Source organism: Homo sapiens, chromosome 9, assembly GCF_000001405.40.
Source record: "Homo sapiens chromosome 9, GRCh38.p14 Primary Assembly".
NCBI lineage: Eukaryota > Metazoa > Chordata > Mammalia > Primates > Hominidae > Homo > Homo sapiens.
Window position 1 is genome coordinate 5,415,411 of NC_000009.12, and position 17,635 is coordinate 5,433,045.

General features: G+C 40.0%; 1 protein-coding gene and 1 pseudogene across 3 annotated transcripts in view, besides 1 other annotated feature; both read right to left on the reverse strand.

Moving 5' to 3' along the window:
* Positions 1-17,635, reverse strand: part of PLGRKT (plasminogen receptor with a C-terminal lysine) — an 80,407-nt gene that overhangs the window by 57,440 nt on the left and 5,332 nt on the right. For all 3 annotated transcript variants that reach the window (XM_005251510.6, NM_018465.4, XM_011517960.3), the window contains exon 3: positions 16,487-16,573. In XM_005251510.6, the coding sequence (XP_005251567.1) occupies positions 16,487-16,567 (81 nt within the window). In that variant the 5' untranslated portion in view covers positions 16,568-16,573. The remainder of the gene's footprint in view (positions 1-16,486; positions 16,574-17,635) is intronic.
* On the reverse strand, positions 2,762-3,699 carry RNF152P1 (ring finger protein 152 pseudogene 1; annotated as a pseudogene).
* Positions 3,106-3,518: a silencer, noted in NCBI's record as "fragment chr9:5418516-5418928 (GRCh37/hg19 assembly coordinates)". NCBI's record gives its function as "represses an EF-1alpha promoter that drives an FKBP-Casp9 reporter gene in an ReSE screen in HepG2 liver carcinoma cells {active_cell/tissue: HepG2}" and the evidence as "EXISTENCE:reporter gene assay evidence [ECO:0000049][PMID:32094911]".

Here is a 17,635-nt window from a genome sequence, read left to right on the forward strand (position 1 = left end):
TAGGCAAACCTCAGAGTAATAACTGTTGCATGTAAGATCTCACCAATGAAAGATGAAATCAGTGGGCAAAAGTTCAAGAAGAAGCAGAATATTAACAAAGTCTCAAAGTATCTCCTCAAAGATATTTATCAATTAGAAAGAAAAAATAGTAACTTTACAGTGTATATAAACTTGATGGATACAACCTTAACCAAGTGATCAAGGTTAACACCACTAGCAATAAGACATATCAACTTCATGTATCCTCTGATACAATGCAACAAGGAAGACACAAAAGCATTTTGTGGTTTAAGAAAAATAAGCAAAAACATTCACAATCTCAATCTAATCATGAGAAAATATTGAACAAACCCAAAGTAAGAAATTCTACTAAATAAATGACCAGTATTTCTCAAAAGTACTTATCATAAAAGGCAAGGAAAGAAAGAATAACTGTCACAGATGGGAGGAGATTAAGAAGACATCAATTAAATGTGATGGGAGATCTTGGGTTTGATCCTGGAACAGAAAAGGGACTTTAGGAAAAAACTGGTGAAATATCAAAAAAAAAAAAAAAATCAGTGGTTAATAGTATTATACCAATATTAATCTCCTGGTTTTGATCATTGTACAATGACTTTGTAAATTGTTAATATTAGAGAAAGCTGGATAAAGGATATACTTGAACTCTCCATGTTTTGCACCTTTTCTGCAAATCTAAAATTATTTCAAAATTAAACATTTTTTTTAAAAATATGGATTCACTTTTATTCTGAATGTCATGAGTTTATTCAAGTCTAATAATACTTCAGATTGTTTTCCTTAATACTCAACATTAAAGACATCTATGGGGGCTTTTTTCTCTCTCTCTAGAAATCCTCCTCCTCCTGCTGCCCTAAATTCTTCATTATCTTAAGGAACCAGGTAAAGTAGAAACAAGACATGTAGAAGTCTAAAGATTTTAATAGCAAGGTTACCTGAAATTCTGTTTGAAATATGGTAGGGTGACTATGTGTCTGTCTGTGTACATATTATCAAAATGTATAAAGAAGGCAAAAACAATTATTAAAGCTATAGGATCATTTTTAATCATTTTGCACCTGAAACCCTACATATAGTAGGCATTCTGAAAATGCCTCACAGAATTAATAAATAATAAAGCAATCCACCCCCTTGCCCAAGCAATGAAGAACAAAAATTAATGAAAATTTGCTCTCTTCAGATTTATGAAAATAAAATTATAGCTTGAAGGAGGAAAACAAAAAAAAAAGCTTTCTGATGGTTACTGGATTCATTGGTCTCACTTAAGTTTGTGAACAAATCTAAAAACTGTGTGTCTGCCCTGGAGAAGTGTCTGTCCTGGACCCATTGTTTGCATGGAAGGGCTAGGCAGCCAAGGATCAGCTTGGTGGCTTGACCTTTCTTTGCCATTTATCTACCTTTGTAGAAAAGTGCCTGTGGCACTAATGACCTTTATTAACTGTTCTACTTTCACTTCCTACCATTTCTGGACATCAGAATATAGGAAATATTAAAAGTATTTTCATTAGCTCCCCAAGTGACTGCAGACATATTAATATCTGCCCTACATTTTAAGAGACTTGGTGGACATTTTTAGTAGGCTCTTTAAACGTTAAATAATGCATAATAGTATTTGCATTTAGATACAGTCCTTCTTACTGTAACTAAGCTAACTTATTTCCATTCATTCCAGCTTTGAAAGAGAAAGACACAGCAGGTTGCCACTCAAACTTTGAAGACCAGTAAAGGTCAAGATGCACTTTTCAAAGGGGCTGTGTGGGCAGAACCTGGTAAGCAGTTTCTTTATCTGAGCCAGTTAAAGACTTAGTATGTGACCCCTAATATTTACTGTACAGTGTCTAGCTTCGGTATGCTTATAAAGAATGGACCTCATACCAAGACAGCTGGATATCCACACGCAAAAGAGTAAAGTTGGACCCTTACTTCATACCATACATAAAAATTAACTCAAAATGGACCCAAGACCTAAATTTAAGAGCTACAACTAGAAAACTTTTAGAAAAAAAACACAGGAGTAAATCCATATGAAGTTGGATTTGGCAATGGTTTCTCTGATATGACACCAAAAACAACAAAAGAAAAATAAACTGGACTTCATAAAAATTGAAAATGTGTGTGTCAAGGGACACTGTCAAGAGAAAAAAAAAAACACCTGCGAATGGGAGAATATATTTACAAATCTTATAGCCAATAAAAATCTAGTATCCATAATATGTAAAGTACTCTTTTTTTTTTTCTCATGATGTCTCGGTTTATTGCTCCCCTATTGGGCTTTCAGTTTAATAAACACGTAGGATCTCTAATTACAAGTGAAGAAAATGAAGGTTCACAACAAAACACAACACATTGGAGACAGTTGTTAAAATATTTTCTCAAAAAAAAACGACTGTCCATTTTGACTTGTTTTGCTGCCATTCAAAATGTATAAAAAGCCTCAGCAACTAAATGAAGACTGAGTTTCAAGGAAAACAAAAAAAGTAGAGAAGCCAGCACTGCATGTCTTAACTGAATTTTTACAAGGATTTGCAGGTTTAATTCTACTTGCATACAGAGCATCTTTGTTTTAATCTAACGGATTTCGAGAAGATCACATTGTACGCACTTGTGGAGTTTAACGTCTAAGTAGAATATGTCTATCTCGTAACGTGATTTTGAAAAATCAGAAATTACAGTCCATTGAATACATGATTATGAGGATGCATGCAATCATCTTCAAAGCTGTTGCCATCAGTACTCAGAGCAAGTTGCCTGGTATCTTGTTGAGACCTCACCTTCTGCCCTTCATGTCTGTCTTGCGGTAAATCAAGAGGCAAACCAGAGGCCAGCTCTCAGCACCAAATGGTCAGTGTCGCCCCCTCATCTTCTCACTGGGATCTCATCACCAATGTGCTCAACCCCTAAGTTGGCACCCACAAGAGACTTCCCTGCAGCCCTCTCCAGCCACAAGATGTCACAGTCAAGCGCTTAGAAATGCAGGACATGTTATGGAGCACGATGCTGAGGAGGAAGACCAAGACGCAAGCCACCAAGATGACAGTGCACACCCTCAACCACATGGAGCTTTTCACCATGCCCCGCCTGTCCTGCTCCTCCTCCGCCACCCCCTGGGGAGCCCTGCCTTGCAGAGGCTGCTGTCCAGCAGGGATGGTCACCACAGTGACGGACTTCTGCCGGTTCCTGGGCAGCAGGTGGCGGCTCATATCTCCGGGCAGCAGCGCGTGCTCCTTGGAGATGGGCAGGGGCAGCATGTAGCACCCACTGCCGGGAAGTCTGATGAAGACCGGCATGTGCTCCGAAGCGTGTGGAATGGTGATGACAGCCAGGACCTCGGGGTCGTCGAGGAGCTGCGACACGGAGAAGTCAGGGGGCAGCTTGGTGACACCGCTGCACCAGGGGCATCGCACATCCTTCTGGCTGGTCCTCGTCTGCTGGAGGCAAACTGAACAGCAGGTGTGCTTGCAATCCAGCAACTTGGCCTTCACTAGGGGCTGCAGTAATTAAAACAGATCTGACATTCTAGCAGAGTCCTGGGACAGCGTCTCCATGGTGGACCCTGAGCAGGAAGGGCAAGGCCAAGGGGAAGGGGAGGGAGCTGGTCTTCAGAGGCCGCCGCTCTGCGTCTTTCCAGTGCAGGTCATGGGGAGCTCAGACATCCAGCACTCACAGGTGTGTTCATTTTGTCAAAGGCCAGGGCGACCTCAGCGACAGGCAGCTCAGAGCCAGCAGCGGGGCACATCTTCTTTCAAAACACCCAGGAATACAAGGCCAGCAGCAATGGCAATTTTCAAAGACCATGGCTTCTGGAAACAGTGGTTCCCAAGGAAAACATTGCAATATGATTATTTATCCTCCAAACTGAATCTGTCACTGAATCCCTTTCACTCCATTCTGAGCATGATGACATCAAGTGGAAATGGTACGTGTTTGGGAGGCAAGAGCCAGGAAGCACAATTGAGACTGAGCTTTCTTCAGCGGACCTTTCTCCGTGGCGTGTTCAGGTGCTGGCTACAGAGGCCACGGACGCTACAGCTTCGCGGGGTGGTCCTGGGTGCCTGCCCAGCTGAGCCAGACATGCCCTATGGCCAGCGGCCGCCGCGAGCCACAAAAAAAGACACAAAAAAGACTAGAACTGACATTTCGCCAAAGCAGATATACAAATGGCCATTAAGCCCACGAAAACATATTCAATGTTATTAGCCATTATGGAAATTCAACTCAAAACCAGAATGAGATATATTTCAAAACTACCAGATGACTAGAATTTGGGGGGAAAAAAAAAGAGAGAGAGAAAATAAGATTTGGTGACGACATAAAAAATGGTAACCCTTACACTTTACAGCGGGAATGTAAAAAACTGTGGCCATGGTGGAAAAGAGTTTGGTGGTTCCTCAATAAGTTAAGCATAAAATTACCATATGACTCCGCAACTCCATTACTAGGTATATACCCAAAAGAATGGAAAACAACTGTTCAAACAAAAACTGGTATAAGAATGTTCACAGCAGCACTATACACAATATCCAAAAGGTAGAAACAACCCAAATATCCACCAACATATGACTAGGTAAACAAAATGTGGTATATCCATACAATGGATGATATTCAGCCATAAAAAGGAATGAGGTACTGATACATGTTACAACATGGATGAATCTTAGAAAGGTTATGTTAATTGGAGGAAGCCAGACACAAAAGACTGCATATTCTATGATTTCATTTACAGAAAATGCCCAAAATAGGCAAACCCATTGAGGCAGAAAGCAGATGAGTGGTTGCAGAAAGCATATTAGTGGTTGCAAAGGGCTGAGGAAGGAGAGGAGGAGTTGGAAGTGACTGGTTAACAATTACAGGGTTTCCTTTTGGAGTGATGAAGTGTTACAGAATTAAATAGTGGTGACAGTTGCACAACACTGTACATGTACTAAATGTCACTGAATTGTGGTAGACTTTAAAATGGTGACGTTTATATGATGTGTATTTTTTTCACAAGTGAAAAAAATTAACTTCAGAAGAATGACTTCAGATGAGGAACATGGGGAGACTACGGCAGGTAGTGGGGACAGGAGGTATGGGCAGAAATGAGCCCCAGAACGAAAAGCTAAATACGGTGTGGATCCAGGAGTTAAGTCATGCATGTACACCCACTCCCTCGGTGAACTTGTGTTGGCCATGCTGCCCCTTTAAGAAAGACACTTCCAGGTTAAGTCCGCTCATACTTCTAGTCTCTGGGCCAACTCCCACTCACTACCTGGTCTTTCTCCCTACAAAGATTGTGCTGCTTTCTTCTCCTCCACCTACTCTACATTCTGGTTCCTTGTCACCAAAAGCCTCTCTAAAAGCACACACTGCACTTTCTTGCTTTCCTCAGAACATAGGACCCTTCCTATTTCAAGATGTTGGTACAGCCTTCTCCTCAAAAAACAAGCAAGTAAAGAAAAAAACAGATGGGGGGCACAAGTGTGACAGATACTGGGAGTTATAAGGATTTAAGCAACTTTTAAATGTGCTCATAATAGTTATTTGCTGCTTTAACTTTTATGTATTTCAGAAAGCATTTATTGAGCACACACTATATTTTATGTTGCAAAAACCATCAGGTCACATCACTACTCCTCTCAAAACCCTTTAATGGCTTCCCACGTCACTCAGAATACATTTCAAAACAGTTGTCCTGGGTACAAGGCTTGAGCGACCTCTGACCTCATCTCTATCCACTCTCCCCCATCCTTTCAGAGTTCTGGCCATACCAGCCTCTTTGCTGTTCTTCCAACTCACCACGAGTTCTCCCAGCTCAGTGTCTCTGCATTCACTTTCCTTTTGCCTGAAACTCGTTCCCTGGCTATCTGCATGGCTCACTTTGTCATTTCCCTCAAGGCTCTGCTCAAAGGTCACCTTCTGAGGCTTTCACTAACTACTCTACCAAAAATGGGGTTTCCCATTCACCCACCCATGGTCTCCCATCATCATCCCTTACCCTGCTTTTTCCCCTCACAGAACTCATCACCACTAACACTCTGTGTTTGTTGGTTTGTTGCATGTGTTCCCACTGGAGTGTAAGTTCCACAAGGGAAGGATTTTGTTCACTATTATGTCTCCCCATCTAAATATTACCCAGTATAGAGCAGGGGCTCCTCAATAAACATTTGGTGAATGAATAAATGGCACATCTAATAAGAAAACTTTTGCTTTAATTACTGACTTTGCTGAGTGCTTACATGGGGCAGATGCTGTGTGCTAAATTCTTGTATGTGGGACATCTCACTTAATCCTCAGAGTAACCCTACAAAGTATCATACTCCTTATTATTAAGCTATATACTCACATGTGGGAAATGAGACACAGGCAGGCTAAAGCAACCTCCCTACAATCAAGAATTAAGTGGGTCTTATCTAAGGGACATAGGAATCAACTTGAAAGAGCTTCCATTAGCCAAAGATGGGATAACTTGAGCAAAAAGAATAATGACTACAACTGATTAAAGAGTTTATAGTCACAATATACAAATAAACAAAAGTTATTTGGTAAATTGTGGAGACTTCTAGGGTATCAATTCACTATTCTGAAATTGCTAAATAAAAGGACAGAATCAAGCATTTATTTTGTTTCCTGTACAAACTATATTCCAGGATAACCAGGTAGTAAAAGTTCTTAATAAATTTCCACACAACGAATGTCAAAGGAATGAGAGAATATTTTTAAACTGCCATTTTATTCAAGCCCTAATGAAGTCACAGATGTAGGCAATGATCATGAGTGGATGGTAAGGCCGGCCGATCACAGGTTGATGGGGAAACTTATAATGGGTAGATCAGGTCGATATGACTAAAGGTAAGACAACCAGACCTCATGAGCCTTGTGATGTGATGTATTAGGAATTACACACTGCCACCTAGAAAAGATTCTTGCTAAAAGAACTGAACTGGAGTCTCATCAAACCTCTAGATTTACCACTTCATAGGAAGAATGAAATAGAAGAATATGCTCAGAAATACCATGAGGAGGCAATCAGCCAAATACAAACTGTAGCACATTCCATAGAACAGATGAGCTGGTTTCTTCAACAAATAAATAGTACGACAAGTAGAAAGGGAGGGATATTCTCACAAACTGAGAAAGACTTAGGAGTCATAATAATCAACTATAGTAGGAAAACTTTGCTTGGATCCCTATTTCAAACACAACTGTAAAAGACACTTGTGAAGCAACTGAAATTAGGTTGCATATGATAGGAAGAAATTATTGCTAATTTAGCTAAATATGGTTATATCTATATCTGTTAGAGAATCATATGGAAATATTACAGGTAAATAGAAATTTGCCTTAAAGTATATTCCAACAAAAAGGGGCAAAAAGGCAAAGGAAGATGGAATAGAAGAAAAAAGACTACCAAAATATTGGTTTTAAAGTTTTTTTTTAAAGTTTTCCTCTCCTCTACATGCACTTTAGCAAGTTAGATTTGCTGGTGGGTCTTAGTATTTCTTTCTAAATTGACAAGATTATATCTTCAGTTAATTGCTTTCGAAACACCTGGCTGACTTATTTTCTTAATATTTGCACGTTTAAAATTTTCTTTTTATCATCATGCATATATAATTTACCTAAATATAAAGTTTTGGGGTTTTTCTCTCAAAATTCTGAAGATATGGCTCCATAGTCTGCTGGCACTTAGAAAACATTTGAAGCCAGACCAATTTTGGCTCACAAAACACTCTAGAATTCTCAGTTCCTAACACAATATTGAAAGTGTTTGTTGTCACTATCACACCACTACCCTGTTCAAGAGCCTGAGTTCCTTGAAAGAGGGGATTGTGCTGTTTACCAAAGTATCTCTAGCTCCTAATTCAACTGGCACGTGATAGACACTCCATAAAGTGTACTAAATGTGTAAATGAATGTTGTAATGCCAAAGGAATACCTCCCAGTATGTGTCTGGAAGTATGTTTCTTTTTATAATTATATTTGGAACATACTGTATCTTTTACCTGCATGGTAAGATTTCACAGAAAACTAAGGGAGTCTATATACATTCTTCCTTCATTTTATCCTTACGTACACTCAGGCCTTTACAGACTTGTTTCTTCCCTCATATTCTACTGACATGGTTCCTCCCAGGCACTGACCTTTTTTAAAGGCCTTTGACTTCTCTGCAGCATTTGACACCGTTGAAAACACCTTCTTTCTTCTTGAAACACTCTATGAACAGATTGCCAGGCCCCAGGTACCTCAACTACAGCTCATTAAGAAATTCAGATGGGAAATTTCTTTTTTATTATTTTTCTTTTTTTTTTGAGACAAGGTCTCACTCTGTCACCCAGGTTGTAGTGTAGTGGCATAATCACAGCTCACTGCAACCCTGACCCCCCCAGGCTCAAGCAATCCTCCCACCTCAGACTCCTGAATAGCTGGAACTATAGGCACACATCACATTGCCCAGCTAATATATATGTAATATAGTCTATAATATATATTACATATATTAGATATTATATTACCTGTTATATATTATATATAGTAATATATGTAATATGTATGTGTAATACACAATATATGTAATATGTAATATATATGTATTTATTTCATCTATTATATATGACATATATTGTATATACCATATGCACACATCACATTGCCCAGCTAATATATATGTATAATATATAATATATATTATATATGTAATATAGTCTATATTATAATATATATTACATATATTATATATTACATGTAATAATATATATTATATATAGTAATAGATGTAATATGTATAATACATAATATATGTAATATGTAATATATATGTATTTATATGTGTCATATAGTATATATACACTATATGTCATATATTATATATAATATATATTAGATATTAGCTGGGCAATGTGATGTGTACCTATAGTATTATATATAATATATTATCATTAATAACATATAATACATAATGTAATAATATATAACATATTATAAAACATAATATATTATATATTAACATATAATATATAACATATTATAAAATATATTATATATTATAACATAATATATAACATATTATAAAATATAATATATATTATTAACATATAATATATAACATATAAATATATATTATTAACATATATGTTAATATGTTTATATAATACAATATAATATATATTACTTATTATATTATACAGTAATATAATATATTATTTATTATATTATATTATATTAATATATTTACATTATATATAATATAATTATATATTTTATATATATATATATATATATATACACACAGGGGGGGGAGAGAGGGAGAGACAGAGAGAGAGAGAGAGAAAGAGACAGAGTTTTGTCACGTTGCCCGGGCTGGTCCCAAACTCCTGGGCTTAAGTGATCCTCCTCCCAAGTAGCACGAGCCACCACGCCTGACTCATCTTTCGTGTTGTTTTGTAGAGATGGGGTTTCACCGTATTGACCAGGATTATAGGCGTGAGCTACCCCACCCAGCCTATACATATTAATATTAAATAACTGTATTTTTTGGTTTATAGCTATGCCTCATTTTCTTAACACCAAAGTCTAACAACAGATATAAAGGTCAAAGTCTAGATCTCATGCATTTTTAAAAAACCTTTAGTTTGTTGCTTGAACACAATAAACAACAAATAAACATCTATTTACTGCCCAGCTAATCTTTACATTGACCAAAAGTGCTTTGCCTACATAGCACTGCAGCACAGCATGGACCTATAGAATATGTTCTTCCCTCATTCTCAAAATGCTTTTCCAGCCACTCAGGTGACATAAAATTAGTTTAGGTGTGCCTCCTAGTGGCATTTTAAGGAAGTATTCATTTTTAGAGGAGTTTTTAGATGAGTTTACCACTCATCCACCATCCTAACACAGGCTAGAAAGAAACTGAAGTTTGTTGATAATCTGAAAATATCATTATAACTAGTAGCATGAATCCTCTCCATCACAATTTGAACCAAAGTCGTAAGTTAAAAAAAGAAAACCTTTTGATTTGAGGCCTTTCATAAATTTGGTTAACCAGACTCCAGTGATTGATTTAATTTCGTTTCCTGATTGGCTTACTATTAATTGAAAACTTGCTTGGTTTCTATCTCCATTATAGATTATATTAAATCACTGACAATCACCAATTATAATTATGTAGCATCACAGAAAAAGAAGGGAAAAAATGTTTCTCACCCCAGGCCATTACATTGCATTACAGTCCCCTAGAGAGATTAAAATAACAACTCTGTGAAGGTCTGAGGTGGGACCCAAACATTCAAAAGGCCCTAGATGAATCAAATGTGCAGCCAGGATTGGGAGCCTGACCAGTGGTATAAGAGATGGGGTTGAATCATGAGTGGTCTTTTCCCCCAAAAGAAAAAAACAATAACACAAAATTACTGAGCTGTGATTTATCTTTGTTTTTAATCAAAAAATAAAGAACTAAAAAAACTCCAGTAGGATAAGATTTTATTTATTAGGCTTTACTCTAATAAACGTTTTGCTTTATTTCTTCTATTTATCCTTCTCATGAGGTGCCATTAAATTTAAAAATAGCCAAAAGACTAAATCACAGGCTAAAGATGTTATTTAGACATGGTATTTCAATCAGAATCTTTTTTAAAACTTCATCTTTGAAGACCCTAAAAAGACAACATCTTCTAGCCCAGTAGTCAAGTCCATGCCATTTTCAGGGTCCTTTTCAACCCTAGGGACTTCTGGGACATGAGGTCAATTCCAGCCCAGCCTTAGCTATTTGGGTTCACTCAATACATAGGGAGGAGAACCCCCAGGGAGCTTCAGGAATATTGTCATAACAGAATTCTTAAGCTTAGTGGGAGATTCGCTGGTGTTCATCTTATTATACTCCATAACTTACATTTGATATAAATATACTCTGTGGTATATATCAAATACTTCATACTCTTAAAAAAGGAAAGAACAGCTCAAAACCCTAGAATGATGCTGGAAGTTTAATTCCTTCAAGTGGGACACATTCAAGGAACAAACCAATCTTCCGAAACTATTGTAGATGAGGATGTTTCTCTCTAGGCTGCCCCAGGGAGGATCAGAACTCAAGTATCTCTAGAGTTAGAACACTGGTTCAACCATGTGGGTCTATATTCCCCTGTTCATCCTTTCTTGAAATTAAGAAATAAATAATAAAGTGTATCTTGATCAACAAGAAAAACCTAGTCACCTTAAGCAACATATGTTAGGAGAATCAATCCACCATGGGACAAGTCTTCCTGCACGATCTTGCTGGGTAGGATGAGGTCACAGGCCCTGACTGCTCTTTAGCTGGGCCATTTCCCAGAGTTGTGTTTGCAGTAAGCAACCCTGAGGGATGAGGTACCATCTCCTTCCAGTCAAAGAGCAGACTTGCTCATCACTCATGATGAAAATGATAGAGTCCACAAGCTCAATGTACCTCAGCTATGTCACAAACCCAAAGCATCCATCCCAGCATCCAACGAGGCTCTCCTTCATCTCCTTTATGGGACTTGGAGTGCGTGCCGCTTTCTGTGCTACGAGTAATAAAGTCTTCTGCCAGCATCCATGAAATAATAACAGGCTAATTTATTACAGCAGTCCCCTCTTATCCACAGTTTTATTTTTCACAGTTTGAGTTACCCATGGTCAACCTCAGTCTGAAAATATTAAATGGAAAATTTCAGAAATAAACAATTCATAATTTTTAAATTACCCATCATTCTGAGTAATGTGATAAAATCTCCCACCATTCCTGCTGGGACATGAATCATCCCCTTGTCTAGTGTAGCCAAGCTGTCCACACTACCTGCCTGTTAGTTACCTAATAGCCATCACAGTTATCAGATCAGCTGCCACAATATCACAGTGGCTGGTGTGCAGGTAACCCTTGTTTTACTTAACCATAGCCCCAAAGTAGAAGAGTAGTGATGCTGGCAATTTGGATATACCAAAGAGAAGCAATAAAGTGCTTCCTTTAAGTGAAAGAGTGGAAGTTCTCAATATGAAAAAAAAAATCATATGCCAAGGTTATTAAGATCTACAGTACGATATTTTAAGAAGGAGAGAACATACACAAAACTTTTATTATAGTATACTGTTACAATTACTCTATTTTTATTAGTAATTATTGTTAATCTGTTACTGTGGCTAATTTATAAATTAAACTTTATCATAGGTATGTATGTACTGGGAAAACCATAGTATACATAGGCTTCAGTACAATCCATGGTTTCAGGTATCCACTGGGGATCTTGGACCATATCCCCCACAGATAAGGAAGACTACCGTTGTTTGCAAGTAGCATAAAATCCCAGACACTTTACATGCCCTGATAGTTTTGGTGGCAAATGTGAGATGCTCATAGAAATATTTGACTTTCTGGAAAAGGAGGGACAAGGGCCCTGGTTGGCTGGGTTACAGGACGTGAGAAGATTCCCAGAGATCTGGTAGTAAATGCTCTTGCCTAGATGGTGGTGAGGATGGGAAAGTGGAATAAGGGTTCCTCACTGTCCTATGTGTTAAATGTGGTTGAACAACAAAAGGTAGGGTTGAAACAAGGTGTCCTAATGGTGCTTTGGCTGTGTCATACTCCCTTCTGGGGTGGGAGAAGGGAGGATGTTATCAATGACAATGGGGCAGCAAGCTCCACGATCCAGCCAAAAAACAAGGCGACGTGGCGATGGCTGCTGAATCTAGGGGTCCCCAGAGCTGAAATAAATGGTGTTAACAATGAGGGTAGAGAACTGTGGGTAGACTAAAAGCGTCAGAAACTTGTCTGTTGAGCCCAGTGGCAGAGGTCACTTGAAATAAAGTAAATACAAAGCCTTGCTTACTGGCACTGAGTGGCTCTCTCCCTCCAGTCCCCAATCCTCCCCTGCCTCTCCTCCAACTCCCTCTGCTTTAGGGAAGTATGCTGGGGAACTTCAGGGCAGGGAAGGACTCAAAATTTTATGGCTCTGTTGGACTGGACACGAGTGCCAAAGTCTACTTGGTCTCAGGGAAGGCAAGTATGCTAAGCACTGGGGTGGCCCAGAGCTCCAAAGACTGCAAGGCCATGCAGTGGCTCCAGCAAAGGCTGAAATAATGATGGCTCTGAGTGGCCATTCTCTCCAGAGGCCAGAGAACACAGGACAGGAAGCAGCACCCATTCTGGGACGAGGAGCCAAAGGACAAAAAGCCCTCCCTGCCCCTCTCCCCTAGCTGGAGACAGCATAATCTCTTGAAACTATTACGACCACCCTTGAAGTACCTATGTTAAACTCTTTTGTCTCTGTTCTTTTATTGTTATTGTTTTGGTTTTTTGAGATAGGGTCTCGCTCTGTCAACCAGGCTGGAGTACAGTGGTATGATCACAGCTCACTGCAGCCTTGACCTTCCTGGGCTCAAGCAATCCTCCCACCTCAGCGTCCTGTGTAGCTGGGACTATAGTTGTGTAACACCATGCCTGGCTAATTTTTTAAATTTTTTAAATGGAGATGAAGTCTCACTATGTTGCCCAGGGTGGTCTTGAATTCTTGGGCTCAAGCAATCATCCTGCCATGGTCTCCCAGTGTGCTGGGATTACAGGTGTGAGTCATCATGCTTGATCACATGTATATTGTGACTAGGTGGGGGAAAGTAACTGAATTCAACTGATAGAGTGTAAGCAAACTTCACAATGAGTAAAAAAAAATTAAAGGGACCTTTATAGCCAATTCAAGATACTGTGATGTGTGTCAACACTCTCCCTACCCACTACATACAAATGTACAATGACATTGATGTATTACATGCTTGTATTATAAAACTCACAGTGACCAAAACAGACTCCCCAGTCAGGGATTCCCAGACCCCTTCTAGGTGGTCTAATAGAAACATAGAAGCCCAGGGAGGAAAAGAAAATCACTATGAAGCTCCAGTGAGGCCACTGCCCAGTGCAGCAGCACCACCTGCTTGGCACAGGCACCAAATACATCCTGTATTAGTTTGCTGGGGCTGCCATAACAAAGGACCACAAACTGGACGGCTTAAGCAACAGAAATTTATTGTCTCTGTTCTGAAGGGGAGAAATCTAAAATCAAGGTGTCTGCAAGGTTTGTTCCTTACTAAGGCTGTGAGAGAAGCATCTGTTCCAGGCCCCTTCCTTGGCTTGTAAACAGCTGTCTTCATATTCACATTGTATGGTCCCGGTATGCATAGTCCAGTATGAATTGTATGGTCTTGTATCCAAATTTCTTCTTCTCATAAAGCCATCAGTCACACTGAATTGGGGCCCATTCTAACGACCTCATTTTAACTTGATTACCTCTGTAAAGACCCTATCTCCAAACAAGATCACATTCTGAAGTACTATAGGTTAAGGCTTCAACATATGAATTTGGAGACAGGAGACACATTTCAACCCATAACACACCCCTTTCAAAAAGGGGACGCAATCGTTGGTCTGCTGCTGAGCTCTTGTTAAAAATGAACCCATGGAGGCTTGTAACTCCCAGGTCTGACATCTCCATTTTGGGGTGGGTCAACCAGGACACAACAACTACGAGGAGAGTAGCTCCCACCCTCTCCCCCTGCCACAACCCACCCCTTGCTCATGGCCCACTGTAAAAGCAGTAGGCTCCCTAAGCTCAACGCTGCTCAACTGTGACACAAATCCACTGAGTGCATAGCACTCATTTCGCCCGTGCCCATCTTTGTCACCTCGGTGAGTTTTGGAGGACATGGGGAATTAACACCACCACGCTCATGCTGTTTGCTGTGCTGTGAGTAATAAAGTCCTCTGACTCTGATGTAGTTGTCTCCAGTCTTCTGTAATAGGCTAACACGTTAGCTTGCAAGTAGGGTAAAATCCCAGACCCTTCACAGACCCTGACTTCATGGGGACCAACATAAGAGTAAAAACCCTGTAGTTTCCAAAGGTCTTTGACAAGGACGTGCTAAGCATCGGATAGCTGGCTGATTTGTAAACCTAATACTTGGTCTCGCCTAGGTCACTGCTCTGTTACAATAATTCAGTTGTCCATTCTTTCAATTGTTTCATTGTCCCCAAAGAGATATTTATTCTGCATAAGACACTCTTGTCAGTCATTAAAAACAATAATAGTAACAACAGCAACAAATATTTATGAGGTGAGAAGCATTTTTCTAAAAACTTGAGGCATTGTTCTATATATTTCATCTTTAATCTTTAAAACATCCCTTTGAAGGGGATATTATTACCTCCAGTGTACAGATCAGGAGACTGAGGCACAAGTCACACAGTTAGTCAAGGGTGGGACTGGGATTCAAACTCAGGCAGTCTGGCTTTAGTCTTCATTTTTAACCACTAGCTACATGCCTTACCAGAGGACTTTCTACTCCCAGAGCCATAATGGGCCACAGAGGCCTAGACATCTTTGTCTGAAATCTTAGGAAAATAATTCGGGTCAAACTTTTAAGACTTGATTTTTTGACTTGCAACATTTTAAAATGTTTTTTACAACCTGTATTAGGCAATTAGATAATCTTCTGCAGTGCTTTGATCTTTTCTATCCAGCCACGTCTAAATCCAATGTTAAGGTTTCACACTCCATGTTAGTTTCCTATTGCTGCAGTAACAAATTATACGAAGTCTGTGGCTTAAAACAACACCAATCTATTATCTTACAGTTCTAAGTTCAGAAGTCCAAAATGGGCTGGCAGGACTGCATCCCTGTAGAGGCTCTAAAGAATAATCTGTTTCCGTGCCTTTTCCAGCCTCTAGGGGCTTCCTGAATTCCTTGACTCATGATCCTTAAACAATCTTCAAAGCCAGCAGTGTAGCATCTTCAAATCTCTCTTATACTGACTCTCATGCTTCCTTCTTTCTCTTATAAAGACCCTTGTGGGCCAGGCACACATACCTGTAATTCCAGCAATTTGGGAGGCTGAGGCCAGTAGATCATTTGAGGCCAGGAGTTCGAGACCAGCCTGGCCAACATGGTGAAACCTTGTCTCTATTAAAAATACAAAAATTAGCCGGGAGTGGTGGTGCATGCCTGCAATCCCAGCTACTAGGGAGGCTGAGGCACAAGAATCGCTTGAACCCAGGAGGCAGAGGTTGCAGTGAGCCCAGATCATACCACTGCACTCCAGGCTGGGCAACACAGTGAGACTCTCTCAAAAAAAAAAAAAAAAAAAAAAAGACAGACCCTTGTGATGACAATGAGTCCATCTGCATAATCCAGGATAATCTCCCCATCTCAAACATTATCTTTGGGGGTGGGGGGCATTATTCTATGTACCACATACTCTAAGCAGTTATCTCTTCCTACAGAATGGAAATTTTTACACAAATTTATCTGGATTGGAGATTTAAATTAGCCCATTCACCAGATAATTAGTAAGCCATTTTATCTTGGTTTTAAGGATGCAGCCCAAAGAACATTTTATTGTTGGGAGTCAAAGAGAATGTACGGCTGGAGTACATGTGGTAGAAACTTTAAGCATTGTAACAACATAATAGCTTAATTATTTTAAAACATACCTGAAGTCGAGCATTCATAAGCATGAACTCCTTTTGATTTTTCATGCTTTCATTCATAGATTTTGAAAATATAAACCCCATTTTGACCTAAAATGTAAAAAAAGCAAGGAGACTTATAATAATACACTACATGCATTCTTGTATGCTCCACTTTGAGCTACCTTGGGCTTATGACAAAGTAAAAAAAAAAAGTAAAATTTCTGATCTAGGAACACAGTGTGGATTCTAGTTCTTGCTCCTAACTAGCTGCCTGACCTCAGGCATACTTAACGAGTCTGGCCATCATTTTACTCACCTAACACCAACTGATTGAACTAGATAATTTCCAAAATCCTTCCCTGCTCTATAAGTATATGGCTGTTTCCTGATTTTTCTTCCCACCATAAATCTTGAAGAACTGAATTCTTGAAGAAAAAAACAACTCTCTTTTTTTGTGAGGGGAAGGGTGGATACCATCCATCTTCTTACCTCTGTACAATTAGGCAACAGAACCTTTGCATCTGAGGAGGGATGATTAAGAAGATGCCTTGTGCGTCTTAAGAACATATTTCTTTGTGCTCTTTGCATTTGCGTTTTAAGAAGATTGAGCTCTCCCTCTCCCTCCCCCTCCCCCTCCCTCTTTCTACGGTCTCCCTCTCTTGCGGAGCCTGGACTGTACCGCCATGATCTCGGCTCGCTGCAACCTCCCTGCCTCTGGCTCCGGTGATTCTCCTGTCTCGGCCTGCCGAGTGCCAGGGATTCCAGGCACGCGCCACCACTCCTGACTGGTTTTTGTATTTTTGGTGGAGACGGGGTTTTGCCGTGTTGACTGGGCTGGTCTCGAGCTCCTGGCCTCGGGTGATCTGCCCGCCTCGGCCTCCCGAGGTGCTGGGATTGCAGACGGAGTCTCGCTCATTCAGTGCTCAATGTTGCCCAGGCTGGAGTGCAGTGGCGTGATCTCGGCTGGCTACAACCTCCACCTCCCAGCCGCCTGCCTTGGCCTCCCAAAGTGCTAAGATTACAGCCTCTGCCCGCCCGCCACTCCGTCTAGGAAGTGAGCAGCGTCTCTGCCTGGCCGCCCTGTCTGGGAGGTGAGGAGCATCTCTGCCCGGCCGCCACCCCGTCTAGGAAGTGAGGAGCGTCTCTGCCTGGCCGCCCATCGTCTGGGAT